The 19,127-nt window shown below is 45.8% G+C and overlaps 1 pseudogene, besides 2 other annotated features; it reads right to left on the bottom strand.

Moving 5' to 3' along the window:
- Positions 917-966: an enhancer, noted in NCBI's record as "active region_8929". NCBI's record gives its function as "activates an Ori minimal core promoter by ATAC-STARR-seq in GM12878 lymphoblastoid cells {active_cell/tissue: GM12878}" and the evidence as "EXISTENCE:reporter gene assay evidence [ECO:0000049][PMID:35858748]".
- RNU6-366P (RNA, U6 small nuclear 366, pseudogene) lies at positions 9,231-9,336 on the bottom strand (annotated as a pseudogene).
- Positions 16,504-16,553: an enhancer, noted in NCBI's record as "active region_8928". NCBI's record gives its function as "activates an Ori minimal core promoter by ATAC-STARR-seq in GM12878 lymphoblastoid cells {active_cell/tissue: GM12878}" and the evidence as "EXISTENCE:reporter gene assay evidence [ECO:0000049][PMID:35858748]".

The raw sequence follows: 19,127 nt of genomic DNA, 5'->3' as shown, positions 1-19,127 counted from the left end.
AGCTTTCCTTCCTTGGAGAAGCCTCTGACTTTGGTGACTAGAAGCAGAGCCAGAAACAGGGTTTCTTGTTCAAGCAATTTATGGGGGCGGTCTCAGGAGAAGGAAGGTGAGGCGGGCTGGAGAGGGGAGGGACATCCTAAGTGAGAGCATGGACTCAGCTGGGGATGAGTGTCAGGCTAAGCCCCCAGGAGCTCGGGCTCCTGCACTGTGCCCCAGAGCCAGCCCCGTGCCCAGGGGCAAAGTGGGGGACTCTTGGCATCAATGCCAGCCATTGGCCAAGAGCTGTGGAGGTGCTGGTAGGACGTACTCTCCCAGGTGAGCCAGGTTCCTGGGACAGGGAGATTCTCCAGAGAAGCGGGTAGCTGTGAGGGATTAACAGCTGGCACTTGCAGCGGCTGGGGGTGCTTGCAGTGATCTGTAAAGGGCACTGGGGAGGGACACAGACAGCCCCTCTGAAACCCCTATGGGGGGCTTGTTAGTGCACAGATTGCCAGCTCCACCCCAGAGGTTGACCCACACCCAAAAGTAGCAGGTGGGAGCTGAGGAGAGAGAGCCAGCCTGTGGATGAGGGTCCCAGGCAGCCAGGAGCCTGGACATCCACTCTCAGACATGACCTTGTTCTCTTTCTCACAATCTAATTCCGGTCTTCAGAGAGATTGCGAAGCAAGAGGCAGCCTGGTTTCAGCCGGGCTGTGAGAACCCCTGCAGTGTGGGCCAGGAGGGAGCAGCCCGGACAGGCCAGGATGAGATGGTGAGAGGTACCCCTGAGTAGAGCAGCTGTCAGCAAGAGGCTAAGCGGGAGGGGCCAGCCACCCATATGCCCAGAACTGAGGGGTTTCCCAGGACATGGGACTTTCAGGGCCAACACTGGGGAGAGTCCCGGGCAAACCAGGGTGAGTTGGTTGCTGCACTGGATGGGCTGATGAAGGAAACCAGGACCCACTTTTGGGCCCTGTAAGCCTTCCTCCGAGATATCCACTAGTAGGTCAGGAGTGGAGGTAAAAGCTGGACTTCCTTCCATCTCTCAGGAGGACTGGGCTAGATGGCTGTTAAATGGAAGGCTAACCCAGAAGGGTGGACTTTTGGGGAACATAAAGCCTATCTAGGAATCTGAAGGTATTTAGAAAATTCATATCATGGCTAATAGTTTTATATATCAGTCTTCGTTGTAGAAGAACAACTAGCAAATGTGATACAGTGGGCCAAGCTGTGAACAAGGAATCCTAAGACCTAAACTGTAGTCCCAAACCTTTCATAACTAGCTGTGTGACCACAGACAATTAAGTTGCCCTCTCTGGACCCCATTCTCCTCCATTGTTAAAAAAAAAAAAGAGTTGAAACTAGGTCTAGCATTCTTTTGTGTGCTGTTGGATCCCTTTGACAGTTTGATGAGGCTTACGAATTTCTTCTCCGAACAGTGTTTTGAAATGCATGAGATGAAATAGGATTTACAAGGGAAACCAATTATAATACAATTATAAACATAGTGTAAAAACAAATTTGTTATGTGGCAATATATGTACTCTTTAATAAATGCAATTAAAAACAAGCCTGAGCGATAGGTGTAATAACTGTAATTTTAAAGTAGTTGTGAGAGTAAACAATATTTCAAGATGTCTGTGACAACCATAATTGATATGTAATGTTTGTGGTTTCTCTTAACAGTAATGTCACAGGAGCTCCTGACGCTGCTGTGGCTTGCTGGCTACATTTGTAATGTAGGAAGGAAATGCTACACTTCAGCTGAAAGTTAGTGAAAATAAAAATATAATTGTTCCCTTTCCATTTTCCCCCAATTTCTTTTCTTTTGTTTTTTTTTTGTTTGTTTGTTTGTTTGTTTTTTTGAGACAGAGTTTCCCTCTTGTCACCCAGGCTGGAATGCAATAGCACAATCTCAGCTCACTGCAACCTCTTCCTCCTGGGCTCAAGCAATTCTCCTGCCTCAGCCTCCCAAGTAGCTGGGATTACAGGTGTGCACCACCATGCCCGGCTAATTTTGCATTTTTAGTACAGACGGGGTTTCACCACGTTGGTCAGGCTGGTCTCGAACTCCTGATTTCAGGTGATCTGCCCTCCCTGGCCTCCCAAAGCACTGGGATTACAGGTGTGAGCCACTGTGCCTGGCCTATTACCCCCCAATTTTATCCATGAACTATGTCCTCCCCAAAATTCACGTTTTGAAGCTCTAACCCTCAGTACCTCTGAATGTGACTGTATTTGGAGTTAGGGCCTTCAAAGAGATGACTCAGGTAAAATGAGGCATATAGTGGGCCCTAATCCAATATGACTGGTGTCCTTATAAGAAAAGGACATTAGGACACAGGCACGGAGAGAAGACCATGTGAAGACACAGAGAAAAGGCAGCCACCTGCAAGCCGAAGAGAGAGGCCTCAGAAGGAACCAATCCTGCTGACACCTTGATCTTGGACTTCCAGTCTTCAAAACCGTGAGAAAATACATTTCTGTTGTTTAAGCCCCCCAGCTTGTGGGGTTTTGTGATGGCAGCCCCCATAGACTAATACAACTCCCCAGTCCATAGAACCCACGTTAAAAATTCCAGGACTAGGCAACCTTTCAGGTCCCTTTGACTCTGTCCATGCAGATAGCACCTTTCTGTGCTAGATGAGAAGGGCTTTGCGGATGAAGATAAAAGGGCATATTCTTTGGGCCATTGCAGAACTAGCAAAGATGAGAAGGAGATCCAGGTGCTCCTCGGCTCCCTTCATTGACTGTATCTGCTGCTGCCCCTCTGTACTGAGAAGAGTCCTCCCCATCTGAGTGTGTAATCTGCAAGAAGATCCCAAGGGCAGCCCATGTACTTCACAGTGTATCCACAGAGGTCTTCGTCCAGGAGGGCTCTATGACTTCCACCCTGAGGCTCAGTGGATGATGCCCAAACGTGAAAGAGCAAAGCTCCAGGACTGAGCTCTCCTGCAAGCTTCTAGTGAGAAGATGGAGTGGATTTTCCCTCTTCCTCTGGAGGAGGAAGGGAGGCAGAAGGAGGACACAGGGAAAGACAGAAGAAGAGAGGTGAGAACTGAGGTGGAAGAGGAAAGAGATAAGTGAGAGAAGAAGGGGAGAGGAAGGAAGAATGGGAAATGGGACGGCGAGAAGCAAAAGAGAAGAGACGGAGGGAGAGAGAAGAAAGAAAGAGGAGGAGGCCACCAGGTCACTTTCTCTTCTTCAGCCAAGGCTGTCTGAAGCTCCCTTTCCCTCTAGGAGTTGCTGGTGACCAAGGGACAGTGAGAACTGGAAGAAGGATACAGAGAACGCTTCACCCCACCACCACCTCCAGCAAGCAAGCGATTCCTAATGGTTAGAGCCCCAGCTCCTAGGCCAGCTGTTGTTTCAGCAATCTGAGCCTGGGCAATAGGCATCCGCTACACAGCCTCAACTCCTAATTTAGGAGGGTGGAGCAAGGGGGCCTGCCTGTCCATCTGACTCTTGGCTGTCTTTGAGAGAAGCTGCCTCCATCCATGTAGAGAGGCCGCCTAACCCTAGTACTGGCCAATTGTTTCTCCTTCCTGGAGTCCCAGCTCTCTATCTTCTCATGGAAAATCATTGACACAGTTTTTCTTGAGGCCAGTTTGTTTTTCAGTTCTATCAGCCCTGATATGATGCTTAATACTTCCCTGGGGAGCAAGATGAAGCCATTGCCATCTCTGAAGTAAATACCTAATTAGGATGCTTCTGAACAGTGTATTATTTACTTGGGAGAATGTATCTTGGGTCAGTGTGCAATTAGAGAGGTCGTTATTTTCTCAAGAGAGGGAGATGGTTCCGGCAGGTCCTACACTTAAATATGTAATTAGGTGCTGCTTAAAGTATCTGGGGTACCTGGAAGGCACCGTTCATTTATTATTAACAACTTGCCTATTGCAACATCCATACTGCTGAGCCACTGGGATGACGAGAAATGAGTTCTGATTCTAACTACGTGGTTGAGGGGGGATAAGCAATACTTGTGTCACTAGCCAACGAAACAAGTAGCAATTAGTGACTTTGAGCCAAACAGGCCCATTGATTCAATCAAGAATCTAGTCTATATCAGGCACAGTGCTCAGTGTTTTAATTTAGTATTCCAATTCATCCTCAGCACAGTTCTATAAGAGAATATTGTTCTTATTTTACCTGCGAGGAAAGAGACTTAGTGAAGAAATATGCTCAAAGTCACAAAGCTAACGAATAGCAAAGCCACCACATGAAGAGTCCAATATAACAACAGAAAGAGCTGCAAGGCACAGACTTTTTCTGAGGAGGAGTACTTAGGGACACCCAATGTCAAGAGGAGATGAAAACAAGGACACTAGAGGAATTTAAAGACTCTGGATCACACATCAAGATTAAAGATTAAACACAACACAACTCCTAGACGAATTAACACAAATCTCCACACTAAAAACCTCTTTACCTCAGTTCCTATTACCCAATACAACACATCCAGCTTTCAACAGAAAATTACAAGGCATACCAAAAGGTAAGAAAAAAAATACAATCTGAAGAGGCACATCAATCATCAGAACCAGACTCAGATATGACACAAGTGTTGGATATCAGACAGATAATTTAAAATAATTGTGATTAATATGCAATATCCCTAGTGAATAAAGTAGGCAATATACAAGAACACATGGATAATGTAAGCAGAGTTGAAATTCTAAGTATCAAAAAGAAATCCTAGAAGTTAAGAACACTGTAACAGAAATGAAGAATGCCTCTGATGGGGTCATCGACAGAGTAAACATGGTCAAAGAAAGAAACAAGGACCTTGAACATCAGTCAGTAGAGGCTTCCTAAACTGAAATGCAAAGAGAAAGAAAAAGAATGACAAAAACAGAAGAGAGAATCTGAGAATTGTGAGACAATATCAAAAAATGTAGTATATGCATAACTGAAATGCAGAAGGACAAGAAAGAGAAAATGGAGCAGAAGTATTTGAGCTAATAATGGCTACTACTGTTTTCCAAATTGCAGATCCAGGAAGCTTAGAAAACACCGAGCAGAATAAGTACACAAACAAACAAACACAAAACAAAAAACACCTAGGTACATCATATTTAAACTACAGAAAAAATTGAAAGTAGAACTACTATTTGATTCAGAAATCCCATTACTGGGTAGGATATACATTCCATATATTCCATGGGAGATACGTGTGTGTGTGTGTGTGTGTGTGTGTGTGTGTGTGTGTGTGTGTGTGTGTAATGGAATACTAGTCAGCCATAAAAAAGGACAAAATAATGGCATTCACAGTAACCTGGATGGAATTGGAGACCATTATTCTAAGTGAAGTAACTCAGGAATGGGAAACCAAACATCATATGTTCTCGCTCATAAATTAAGCCAAGCTATGAAGATGCAAAGGCATAAGAAGGATATCATGAACTTTGGGGACTCGGGGGAAGGCTGGGAGGGGGTAAGGAATAAAAGACTATACGCTGGGTAGAGATTTGAATTGAGATTTTGGTTACTTGTCCATGTAACCAAAAACCACCTGTTCCCCAAAAACTACTGAAATAAAATAAAAATCTGTAAAAAAGAACTGCTATCTGTCTCTCTCCAAGCCATGCCCCTCAAAAAATAAATAAACTACAGAAAACCAAAGACAAAGAAAAAATCTTAAAAGAAGCTGGAGAAGGATGGATGTAGGAAATACGAAACTCACAGAAGAACAAAGTTAAGAGTTACAGCTGACTTTTTGATATAAAACTATGCAAAGAGGAGGAGAAACACTTAAAGTGAATGAATGCCAGCAGTGTCACAGAAGTTAAAAGTGCGAGATTGAAAACAAAACCCACCCACCTAGAATTCTATATATATCCAGCAGATTTATCCTTAAAAATTAAGGAGAAATAAAGATTTTTCTCAAACAAAAATTGACAGACTCTGTTGCCCACAATCTGTCCTGCAAGAAATGTTAAAAGACGTTATTAGCCAGCCATGGTGGCTCACACCTGTAATCCCAGCACTTTGGGAGGCTGAGGCAGGCAGATCACTTGAGGCCAGGAGTTCCAGACCAGCCTGGCCAACATGGGGAAACCCCGTCTCTACTAAAAATACAAAAATTAGCCAGGCATGGTGGCATGCACCTGTAGTCCCAGCTACTCGGGAGGCTGAGGCAGGAAAATCACTTGAACCTGGGAAGTGAAGGTTGCAGTGAGTCAAGATTGTGCCACTGTACTCCAGCCTGGGTGATAGAGTGAGACTTCATCTCAAAAAAAAAAAAAAAAGGAAGAAGAAATTATTCAGGCAGAAGGAAGATGATATCAATCAGAAACTTAGATTTATGTAAAGAAAGTAAAAGCGGCCGGGCGCGGTGGCTGAGGCAGGAGAATCGTTTGAACCCGGGAGGCAGAGGTTGCAGTGAGATAACGCCACTGCATTCCAGCCTGGGCGACAGAGTGGGACTCTGTCTCAAAAAATAGAAATAAAAAATAAATGAAGATTGGATTGGAATGTTCATAGATTTGGTGACTCAATATTGGTAAAATGTCAATTCTTCCCAACTTGATACAGATTCCCAGTCAAAAGCTCAGCAAGCTATTTTGTAGGTATCAACAAACTGACTCAAATCTATATAGAAAGGCAAAGAACCTAGAATAGCCAACACAATACTGAAGAACAACAAAGGACTCACATTACCCAATTTAAGACTTACTATAAGACTACAACAATCGAGATTGCTGAAATTGGTGAAAGAATAGAAACATAGATCCATGGAACAGAAGAGAACACAAATAATAGACAACTGTATTCAACTGATTTTTTACAAAGGCACAAAGGCAATTCAATGAAGAGAGAATTGTCTTTCCAACAAAAAGGGCTGGATCAAAGAGATATTCATATGAAAAAAAAATGAACCTAGCCACAGACCTTACACCTTACACAAAATATACTCAAAATGAATCACAAATCTAAATGTAAAATGCAAAACTATGAAACTTTTAGGAGAAAATATGCATGACCTTAGGTTTAGCAATGAGTTTTAAGATACACCAAAAGCACAATTCATGAAAGATAAAATTGACATGTGGGAATAGTGGGTTGAATGGTAGCCCTCAAAAAGGTAAGTCCAGGCCAGGCACGGTGGCTCATGCCTGTAATCTCAGCACTTTGGGAGGCCAAGGTGGGCAGATCGCTGGAGGCCAAGGGTTTGGGACCATCCAGGCCAACATGGCAAAACCCCGTCTCTACTAAAAATACAAAAATTAGCCAGGCGTAGTGGCACACACCTGTAATCCCAGCTATTCCGGAGGCTGAGGCATGAGAATCATTTGAACCCAGAGGCAGAGGCTACAGTAAGCCGAGATGGCACCACTTCACTCCAGCATGGGCAACAGAGTGAGACATTATCTCAAAAAAGAAGGAAGTCCACATCCAAATTCCTGGAATCTGTCAATGTGATCTTATTTGGAAAAAAGGGTCTTTGTAGAAGGTTGAGTTAAAGACCTTGAGATGAGATCATCCTGAATTACGTGGGTAGGCCCTAAATCCAATGCAAGTATCCTCAGAAGAGAGATATAGGGTGATTTGACAGAGAGAAGAGGAGGAGGGGTGTGACCACAGAGGCAGAGACAGGAGTGATGTAACTGCCAGCCAAGGGGGACCTCAATATGATGTAATGAAAATAGTGCTGCACCTCTGTGGTGTCCCTTTCACAAACCCATAATCCCAGTCTAACCATGAGAGAATCACCAGACCAATCCCAGCTGAGAAACATTCTACAAAACACCTGACCAGTACTCCTCAAAACTGTCAAGATCATCAAAAAACAAGGAAAGCCTGAGGAACTGTCCCAGCAGAGGAGCCTCAGGAGTAAATGTAATGTCTCCTAGATGAGATCCTAGAACAGAACAAGGACGCCAGGTAAAAACGAAGGAAATAAGGCCAGGTGTGCTGGCTCAACACCTGTAATCCCAGCACTGTGGGAGGTCGAGGCAGGCGGGGGATCTCCTGAGCCCAGGAGTTCCAGGCTAGCCTGGCCAACATGGCAAAACCCCATCTCTACCAAAAAAAAAAAAAAAAAAAAAAAAAAAAGCCATTCGTGGTGGCTCAAACCTGCAGTCCCATCTACTCGGGAGGCTGAGGTGGTGGGGATCGCCTGAGTCCGGGGAGGTGGAGGCTGTAGTGAGCCATGACTGTGCCACTGCACTCCAGCCTGGGTGACAGAGTGAGACCCTGTCTCAGAAAACAACGACAACAACAACAAAAAACTAAGGAAATCTGAAAAAGTATAGATGAGTTACTAATAATATATCAATATTGGTTCATCAATTTTGACAAATGTACCCTATGTTAGTAGGCAGAAGTGAGAACAAGGCATCTAGGAACTCCCTGCAGTATCTTTACAACATCTCTGTAATTCCAATTCTATGCTAAAATATAAAGTTTATTTAAAAGTTAAAAGAAAAGAAAGTGTTATTTATGACCTTAAAAAATTAAAAATAACATCCCCCCTGAAAAATAAACCCCTAACACATACACTTTCCAAACATGACATATACGAATGAACAACACACAAAGGAAATTGGAAGAAACCTGTGTTGTTTACCCCGGAGCGGATGCCTATGGGGGAAGGGACTAGGATTAGACCTGGAGAAAGGAGAAAGACACAACCACGATAATCTCAAAAGAGGATTCGAGTCCAGATGGGTGGTGACAGCGAGCCATCAAATGGAGGACATCAGCCCCCCAAGTCCGTGCGCCTGAAATCCTTTAACAAAAGGAGGGAAAGGGAGAGAGAGGTCCTGCCAAAGGTGGCTAGTGATCTCTGCAGCCACAGGAAAGGAAAATGTCTGTCTGGAGAGCGTTTCTGGAGGTCGCAGGGGAGAAAACGGCCTGATCGCCGGCTTCTGCTCTCCGCGGAAGCTGCCAAGCACAGGTCTAGGGCACATGGCTCAGAGACAAGAATTTTGTTTTTTTTTTCGAGATGGAAGTCTTGCTCTGTCACCCAAGCTGGAGGGCAGTGGTGTGATTTTGGCTCACTGCAACCTCGGCCTCCCAGATTTAAGCAATTCTCCTGCCTCAGCCTTCCGGAGTAGCTGGGATTACAGGCGCACCCATGCCCGGCTAAATTTTGTATTCTTTGTAGAGATGGGGTTTCATCGTGTTGGCCAGGCTGGTCTTGAACTCCTGACCTCGTGATCCACCTGCCTCGGCCTCCCAAAGTGCTGGGCTTACAGGCATAAACCACCATGCCCAGCCAAGAAATTTTTTGAAGAAAATTTTTAAAATATATGGAATGCTTCACAAATTTGTGTGTCATCTTTGCGCAGGGCCATGCTAAGCTTCTCTGTATTGTTCCAAGTTTGGAACAAAATTGCCAAAGTGACAGTTTTGTGCCTGCTGCTGCTACCTCCACCATCTGACTCCAGGCAACCTTATCTAACCTCCTACATCTCAGCTTCCTCATCTGTAAAATCGGCAAATGGGGATGATGATGATAATAATAATAATAATAATAATAATAATAATAATGACTTCTGAGGGTTAAAAGAGGTAAATGTATAAAAAGCACTTTCCAGTGTCTGACACATAAAGTCTTGATAAACGGTCACTATTATTATTTTAAATGCTTTTTTGAATCCATTTTCCCCTTAGGCCAGATTTACAATTATTTCCAGCAGGAAACGTGTTTCATTGCCTGCCCTGCCCATAACTCTCTTCTCAGATCCTACTTCTCCAAAGGGCAAGCTGTAAGACCCTTCCCCTGTCCCCACTACCTGGCCTGTCCCGGCCACCCTGATGGGACAGGAAGTCTGACTCAAGTGAGCTGATCGGGTTAAGTTCTCTCAATAATTTAACCTAAGGGGCCACCAATTTTAGTGAATTGGTAAGAATGCACTGGACTTACATGGTCTCAAGGAGTCGTGGTCTGACCCAGTTGACACCCTTTGGAGTCAAAAGTCACCCAGAATTAGGGGAGCAGAAACAACATGTGATTTGGTTTGCAGAGGCGGGTGGAGCTCAGAGAGGCAGAGAAGATGAGGACAGTTCACGGGAGGCCCACCTGCACTTCCTCAATTAACTCCATCAGATTCCCTAATCCCTTTCAAGAAAACTCCTTCTCACTTGCATTTTTTGAATGGGCTTCTATTTATTACAACCAAAATAGCCCTGACTGAAATTTACAAGCATGTCTTACCCACCAGACTGGGACACCATCTGCAGTCCTAGCATCTAGTGTGGTTCTAGATCAATAGCTGATTGTTAAGAGTTGAATGAATGAATGAATGAATGAACCAATGAAGGGACAAACAACACAGTCAGGCCTGTCCAGGCCCTCACCCTTTGCCAGCGTCCCTGCATTCAGCCTCAGTCACTTCCCCTGGCCCCTGGTGGTCTTTTGGTTGGAAGAATCCTCCCCTACACATCCCAGGATCCCAAAAGGCCAGAGGAAAAGAAGTCAGTTGAGTTACAGAGCCTGGAGTTCCCAACACACAGGGATGTTGAGAAAGAAACTGCAGATGGCCAAAGCATCATCACAGAAGACACGGTTAACCCAGGGAGGCTGGCTGTTTCCAGGGCACAGGAAAGGGCACCTGCTTTGTCGATGAGCCAAACAACGTGCTGCCGATGCCTTACACAAGGCATCCTGTGCAGGTCCTGAGCCTACTGGCCCTCAGCCACTTCCCCTGCCAGCCGCATTTCCCAGCCTCCTGCTGGGTGGGTCCAGCCAATGGAGGCAGTGGTGGGAGATTGGAGGGTGAGAGACAGGGAGAAGCTGAGCTATTTCTCCTCCTCCCTCTCTGCCTCAGATAGCACCCCGGCAAGAGCTGTGTGTGGCCACTGGACCAGCCCCCTGTGGGTCGAGCCCCCACCTGATGACCTGACCCCTGGGCTTCAGTAACACCACCTCCTCCCTGCAGCCCCCCAGCTCACAGTTGTGTTCCTGCTGGTCTCTGGATTGCCTCGCCCTCCCCCACTTGGCCTCCAAGCTCTGCCCTCACTTGTGTAACCAATTCCCTGTATTAAAGTAGCTCTGTTTGAAGTTCTCCAGGGGTTTCCATTCCCTAGCCAAACCCGTGTGGTTGGTATTATTTCCGGGCTGCAATGAGAAAACAAAACTGCAAGGAGAAGTAACTTGCCTCTGGTTATACCGCTAGTAAGTGGCAAAGCTGCATTTGAAGCCAGCTCTGTCTGACTCAAAGGCCACGTTTCATCTGCACACCCCCTTCCACTGCCCTTGGGCAGCCATCCACCCTCTAGGGGAGCTGGCCTCAGTTCCACCTGTACTGGTGCTGCCTTAGGAAGGGCTCCTAGCCCCCTCTGGATGGGAGACGCCAGGCAATTTAGCAGCTGTTTCCAGGCACCGTGTTAAGCCCAGACACGTGGCCCCAGTCCGAAGCTCTGTTCCTAATGTTGGAAAATGTTTGCCCTGTTTCTTTCCTGCAGACCGTGAGAACAGGCTGTTCCAACGAGACTTGAAAAGCTGCCTTTGGTGGACTGACTTCCCGGTCCCCTCAAAGAATGTCAGTCCTGAGGGTCTGTAATCCTCTCACTCCCAAAGTAAGAGGTGAGTTATTTTTCCCAGTGTGCTTCCCACCCCTGCCTCTGTCCCACAGGGGACTGGAGGTTTTTCTATTTGAGAAAATGTTAAATGATCTACATCTTTGATAGTGTCTTCTGACCACAGCATCACCTGAGAGCTTGTTGAAAATACAGGACTCCACTCGGGGCCTGCAGTGTCATGGCGTGTTGTTTTGGGGGGCCTGGGGTTTTTTTGGAAACAGGGTCTTGCTCTGTCACCCAGGCTGGAGTGCAGTGGTGCAATCACAGCTCACTGCAGCCTCTACCTCCTAGGCTCAGGCAATCCTCCCACCTAAGCCTCCAGAGTAGCTGGGACTACAGGTGCATGCCACCACATCTAGCTAATAGATCAGCCTGGGTAACATAGTGAGATCCTGTCTTCACAAAAAATTTAAAATTAGCCATCCTTTCTGTACAGACAGGGTCTATGTTACCCAGGCTGGTTTCCGTCTCCTGGGCTCAGGCAATCCTCCTGCCTCAGCCTCCCAAAGTGCTGGGATATAGGCTCCCAGCCAGGATATGTATTTTAACAAGATCAAGATTCCCAGATAGTTCCTATGCATGTTAAATTTGGAGAAGTGCTGCCCTCCACTATTTAATAGATGTCTACTGGGCACCTATTATATGTAATTTCATAATAGTACTATCTTTTGGGGGTGGTGTAAGAATTAAATGAATCAATACATTAGAACAGTGCTGGACATACAGTAAGTGCAGGATGTTTTAGTATGATAATCATTATTTTTATAAATATTTGCTTGGGCCTGAAATCAAGCACTAGGGGGCTCAAAGATAAATAGAGCCAGCTGGGCGCCATGGCTCACGCCTGTAATCCCAGCACTTTGGGAGGCCAAGGCTGGTGGATCACGTGGTCAGGAGATCAAAACCATCCTGGCTAACATGGTGAAACCCCGTCTCTACTAAAAACACAAAAAAATTAGCCGGGCGTGGTGGCGGGCACCTGTAGTCCCAGCTACTCGGGAGGCTGAGGCAGGAGAATGGTGTGAACCCGGGAGGTGGAGCTTGTAGTGAGCCGAGATCATGCCACTGCACTCCAGCCTGGGCGACAGAGTGAGACTCTGTCTCAAAAAAAAAAAGAAAAAAAAAAGGTTAATAGAGCCCTGCCTCAAGGAGCTCCCAGGCTGTCAAGAGATGTGCATAGAAACAAATAATTCTGATCAAATATAACCTGTGTTCACTTTGGGAGGTCAAGGTGGAAGGATTGCTTGAGCCCAGGAGTTCAAGACCAGCCTGGGCAACATAGTGAGACCCCATCTCTACAAAAATAAAAACATCAAAAACAATTAGCTGGGTATGGTGGCATGTGCCTGTAGTCCCAGCTAGTCAGGAGGGTAAGGGGTAAGGTAGGAGGATCACTTGAGCTTGGGAGGTTGAGGCTGCTGTGAGCTATGATTGAATCACTGCATTCCAGCTTGGGCAAAGGAGCAAGACTTTGTCTCAAAAATATATGTCTGTGTGTGTGTGTGTGTGTGTGTGTGTGTGTGTGTGTGTTTAGCCTGTGCTATAAAAGTTACATTCCAACCTATGGGACCTGAGGTTTAGAAAGTACTCTGTGATTTACAAACAAGAATTCACATATGATACCATGTGAGCATAACATAATGTGGTTTTATAAAGTAAATAAGATTATTGCCTCTATAGAAATGAAATTCAGAGGGGCATTGCCCAAGCTCACACAGCGACTTTAATTCAAATCTTATAACTCCAAATCCAGTGCTCTGCCTCCTGTCCCCAACACAGTCTCTCCAAGAAAGAAGGTGCTGAGTATCAGCAGGTCTGAGAAAGTTCAAGGTGGAAGGAAAACTGGAACCAAGAACTAATGTCTGAGATGACACTGGGGTGTGGTCCTTGCTTGGTATTTGTCACTGGAGAAGGACAGTGATCAGGGTTGACACTGAAGTCGTTTTCTCTCAGAAATTACAGACGAGTGGAAATGAAGACCAGACAATCCCTGGGGGTCCAGGATTATTCTTTTGGGTTTGTTTGGGTTTTGAGGTTTTTCCGGCACGTCCAAGTACCCCACTGTCCAGCCAATGCTCGCTTTTTGGAAAGCTGGTCTCAGTCTCCTTTTCTAACCTCAGCTGAAAAAGTTGTGTCCCCAGTGACTCTTCACCACCCTCAGATCTAGATCACCACACGGAGTCTTTTCAGCAGACTCTCCCAGTGCTGGGTGAATAGCAGCTGTTCTCAAAGCAGGGTCCCCAGCCCGGCCGCTGCAGCCTCACCTAGGAAATTGTTAGAAATAATCCTCCAACTCTGCCAAGACCTACTGAGGCACAAACTCTAAGGTGAGGCCCACAGCATGTGGTGTTTTAACAAGTCTTCTCTGCCATTCCTGGAGGTTTTGTATGTGGATACAAACGAAAGTTAGTATGTATGGGAGGCAATTTAGAGTTTGAAAGCACTAACTATAGAGCTAGAATCAGGGCTCAGCCACCCACCGGTAGGTGACCTTGGGCAAACTCAATGATTTTGAGTTTGAGAAGCACTGGTAGGGCTGTCCTCTAGAGCTTTCTGCGACAATGGAAATGTTGTGTATCTGCCGGGTCCAATACCATAGCCCCCTAGTCTCAGAGGCCTGCCAAGCACTTGAGTGTGGCTAGTATGGCTACAGAACTGAATTTCAAATTTTATTTACTTTTGATTAATTTAAATTTAAATAGCCACACATGACTAGTGGCTACCTCATTGGACAGAGCAGGTCTAGAGGACACTCTCGCCCACCCCCAGATCACATATCAGAAAGAGCACACGAATCTCCAGCAAGGTGGGAAGGTGGCGGTCCGGAGAAGTATGGACAAAAGACATCAGGAAGGAGGCACTTCACTGCCAGGCCTGAGAAAAAAACCAGATCCCACTGAGGCTCAGCAGAGACTGCGGGAGGAGTGACACTCCCTAGAGACCCTTGGTCCACTTGTCCCTGAAGGTGGCTCATGAAGCCTTAGCCTCATCTCAAGGAGAGGTGCTGAAGTGGACATGTGGGGACAGACAGGTCAGAGCTGGGCAGTAGGCAGGTAGGTCACAAGCTAAAGATTCAAATAGACCAGAGAAAGGCCTCTTTCAAGAATGCAGCAAAAGAAAATAAGCATAAACTAAAGCAGGACAGATCTTGGTTTGACACAAGGAGGAACTGCCTGATAGGGTGGCTGAGAACAATCTTGCTGCAGGATGCTACAGAGCTTCTGTCCCTGTAGAGGAAGTGTGGGGTCATGGACGGACTCGTGCATCCTAATTCCTGTTTCATTTACTAGCTGGGTGACTGTGAACAATGGGTTGACCTCCCTGGGCCTAGGTTTCTTTGTTTGCCATAGAGGAACCAAGAAGCAGAACGCCATGTGGTGGGGACAGAATGGCAAGGCAGCTAAGGGCTTGGGCTTCTGGAGGCAGCCAGATGTGGGTTTGAAACTCAGTGTGGCCTCAGCCAAGGGACTCATGTAAGTCACTTGACATTTCTGTGGTTTCATTTTCTCGTCTGTAAAACAAGTCTGCTAATAACAGAGGAGGCATAGAGATTAGATGGATTGCAGCGCATATAACGTGATGCTGGGTGCCCAGTAGGAGAGCAGTAATTACAGAGCTCACTAAGTGTGCCAAGCCCTTTACATGGACTCACTTATTCTTTACAACATGCCAAGGAAGCAGTCCTACTGTTATGCCCATTTTTCAGATGACAAAACTGAGGAACAGAAAAGTTATGTAACTTGCTCAAGGTCACCTACCTGGTGGGTGGCTGAGCCCTGAGTCCAGCTCTATACTTGATGCTTTCAAATGCTGAAGTGCCTCCCATTCCTGCTAACTTTTGTTTGTGTCCACCCACAAAACAACCAGGAATAGTAGAGAGGGCAATTTATTGTCACCTCACTTTGTGACCTTGAGCCCTTGCTCCTGCCCCACCCCAGTATTCCCATCTGTGCAATAAAAGGAATGGACTAGTTGGACCTCAGGGCATTGGGAGCTGTGATAGTCTTCGGGAAGAAGCGAGGCAATCCTTTGTAGGGAGCAATTTCAACCCACTTCACCTCCCAGTCAGAGGGAGGCTGGCTCAGAAGTCCCTGGAGGCTCCTTCCAAGTTGACGGCCATATAAAGGCATGACCCCATTCTAAGGACTCAGTGGGGGTCTTTGGAAAACATCAAGAGGGAGGCAGAACCTAATATTCCAGTCCAGGCTTGGCAGGGTGAGCTTAGGCAAACCCTGTCCCTCTCTGGGCCTCCCTATGCAGACACTTGGGCCACCTCCTCATAGTCAGTGCTGCTGTGCCTGTCCTCCTTGCTGATGTGGCTGGAGGTTCACCTTCCCAGCCCCCGGGGTTGGAGAAGGACTAGTCCAAGTCAGCCATGGTAACTCCGCCCCTCTGTCAGCGATTGGCTGAGACCTGAGTACAGGACTCAAGCCTGGCCAATGAAGGGAAGACACCACTGGGATGCTGAGAAAGGCTTTCTTCCCTTGATACCACAGCCCCACAGGAGAACCTGCCTTCCAGGAAGACACTTGGATGCCCAGAACTGCTGCAGCCACCTTATGACTATGAGGAGCTGGGGCTGGGTGTGGTGGAGCTCCTGAGTTAACCAGCCCTGCAGCTAGCCGGACTACTTTTCAAGGAGATCAATTCCTTGCTGTTTAAGTCACTCTGGGTTCATTATTCTCTTTCTTGCAGCCAAATGCATTCTAAATTATATTTAGCTTTCTCATTTGTTCAGTGAGAATAATACCACCAGGATCTTGTGTGGATAAAATGGGATGAAAGACTTGCAGATGCTAAAGCATCCATGACAGTGCCTTATTACTGCAGCAGCCTGAAAACTGACAGCTTTAAGGATGAGGAAGTGTTGTGGGGAGGCCATCAGTCCCATTGTAACCCGCTGATAGATGATGACTCAACTCAACACTCAAGGGGCTTTCTTACTGGGGAAAGAAGCTCCCACAATTGTGTGAACTTTCCTTTTTTTTTTTTCTTTTCTTTTTTTTTTTGTTTTTGTTTTGAGACAGAGTCTCACTCTGTCACCCAGGCTGGAGTGCAGTGGGGCGATCTTGGCTCACTGCAACCTCTGCCTTCTGGGTTCAAGCGATTCTCATGCCTCAACCTCCCAAGTAGCTGGGATTACAAGCATGTGCCACCACACCTGGCTAATTTTTTTTGTATTTTTAGTAGAGACGACAGGGTTTCACCATGTTAGCCATGCTAGTCTCAAACTCCTGATCTCAGGTGATCCACCCTCCTCAGCCTCCCAAAGTGCTGGATTACAGGCGTGAGCCACTGCACCTGGCCTGAACTTTCCTTGTTGCTTAATTTGTTATACTTGTATCTAACAACTCAGAAAACCAATTTTTGTCAATTATAAATTTGATGAATTAAATGTTCTTTTGTGTGTGTGTGTGAGACACAGTCTCACTCCTGTCACCCAGCCTGGAGTGCAGTGGCATGATCACAGCTCACTGCAGCCTCAACTTCCCAGGCTCAGGTGATTCTCCCACCTTTGCCTCCTGAGTGTGGGACTGCAGGCATGTGCCACCACGCCTGGCTAATTTTTTGTATTTTTAGTAGAGACAGGGTCTCCCTAGTTGTCCAGGCTGGTCTCAAACTTCTGGGCTCAAAGGATCTGCCCCCTTCGGCCTCCTAAAGTGCTGGGATTACAGGCATGAGCCACAATGCCTGGCCTAAATATTCTAAACAAGTTAAAATGCAATTACAGACAGTGCATTTGATTTTTTTGAATACTTCCATGCCTCAAACAGCAGACAAAACACTCAGAAACATCATAGCTACACATAAACTCATGCTTATGCTCACTCTAAAGCATCCACACCATAGCCATAATATCAAGTGCATTATTCTGCACTTGATATATTGCCTTCCCAGGATTCTTGCTACACTTATTATTTATTATAATTATTTATTACATTCTCAGTCTTTCCTTGCTTTGCATGACCTTGACAGCTTGGAGGAGGACTGCTGGGCTCCCCCAGAGGCAGATACTGAGACAATGTAATAAATAATATACATTGTTTATTACATTATTATTTACTACATTATTTTTATATCATCCTAGGGTTTCAGTAACACTTTTAGTCCTTCCAGGGTGCAAGGGGACTGGAGAGGGTCGTTAGTCTTACCAGACCCAAAGACAGAGGACACTTTCTCAGACAAGCTGAGGACCTAGAATTGGGTTATTGGCCAATTTATTCTTGACTAGGGCATGGGGCCTGAATACAAAACGTAAGGTGATTCATAACCCAGGTGCCGATCAACAGTGGATTGGATTTTTTAAAATATGGTACATATACACCATGGAATACTATGCACCCATTAAAAAAAATGAAATCACGTCCTCTGAAGCCATGTGGATACAGCTGGAGGCCATTATCCTAAGCAAATTAACACAGAAACAGAAAACCAAATGCCACATGTTCTCACTTATAAGCAGAAGCTAAACATTGGGTATAAACGGACACAAAGATGGAAACAATAAACACTGGGGGCTCCAAAAAGGGGGAGGAAGGGCGGCAGTGGGGGGACCAAGAGCTGAAAAACTACCTATGGAGTACGATGTTCACTACCCGGGCAATGAGATCATCAGCAGCCCAAACCTCATCATCACATGATATACCCATGTAACAAACCTTTACATGTACCCCCTAAATCTAAATTTAAAAAAAATGTTAGGTGATTCAAACACGAGTCCTGGGTCTCCAGGCTGGATCACTTCTTATAAAAGTTTTTCTTGTGATGGCTTGGGAATTTTAAGCATCCATCTTTTTCTGTGAATTTTTTTTTTTTAAGTTTTAGAATTCTGTGTCGTTCCTGATATGATGTAAAAAGAAGGGCACTTTGCCGCAAGGTCTTCTTCCCCCAAATTCATCCCTCTAGTCTAAGGAAAACATCAGACAGATCCACACTGAGGGACATTCTACAGAATATCTGAGCAGTCCTCCTCCAAGCCGTCAAAGTCATGCAAAGCAAGGAAAGACTGAGAAACCATCACAGACCGGAAGAGACTAAGGAGGCATACTGATTAAATACAATGTGGTATGCGGGATAGGATTCTGGAAGCAGAAAAAGACGTCCATAGACAAAGCTGATAAAACCTGAATAACATCTGGAGTTTAATTCATAGTTAACATAAGAGAAGGTTAATCTCTCAGTTTTGACAGATATACCAAGGTAATGTAAGAAGTCAACATTAGAAGAAACTGGGAGAGGGGTGTACTAGAACTCTGTTATCTTTGCAACTTTTCTATAAATCTGAAATTATTCCAAATTGAGTTTATTTTTTTCAATGGTTTGTTAGGCTGGACTCCCCCAGAGGCTGACACTGAGACGAGGATATGAGTGGAAGTCGTTCCTTTGAGAGGTGACTCTAGGATTCACCTGGCAGGGAGTGGGGATGTGAGACAGGAAAGGGAGGAATCGCCAGAGGGTGGACTGGCAAGCAGATGACCGCTGTGGGTAACCGGGGCTCAGGCCTGCATGGAAATATAGGAAATAACATCTCCGAGTTATCCCAAGGAGAGACAAAGGTGTTGGAATATTATCTGCCATTCCCATGAGATATTGGTTGAAGGCTGCTCCGGGACTAG

Source organism: Homo sapiens, chromosome 14 (genome assembly GCF_000001405.40).
Source record: "Homo sapiens chromosome 14, GRCh38.p14 Primary Assembly".
Lineage (NCBI taxonomy): Eukaryota > Metazoa > Chordata > Mammalia > Primates > Hominidae > Homo > Homo sapiens.
Note: the sequence above shows the minus strand (reverse complement) of the source record. Positions and strands in the feature narration are given on the sequence as shown.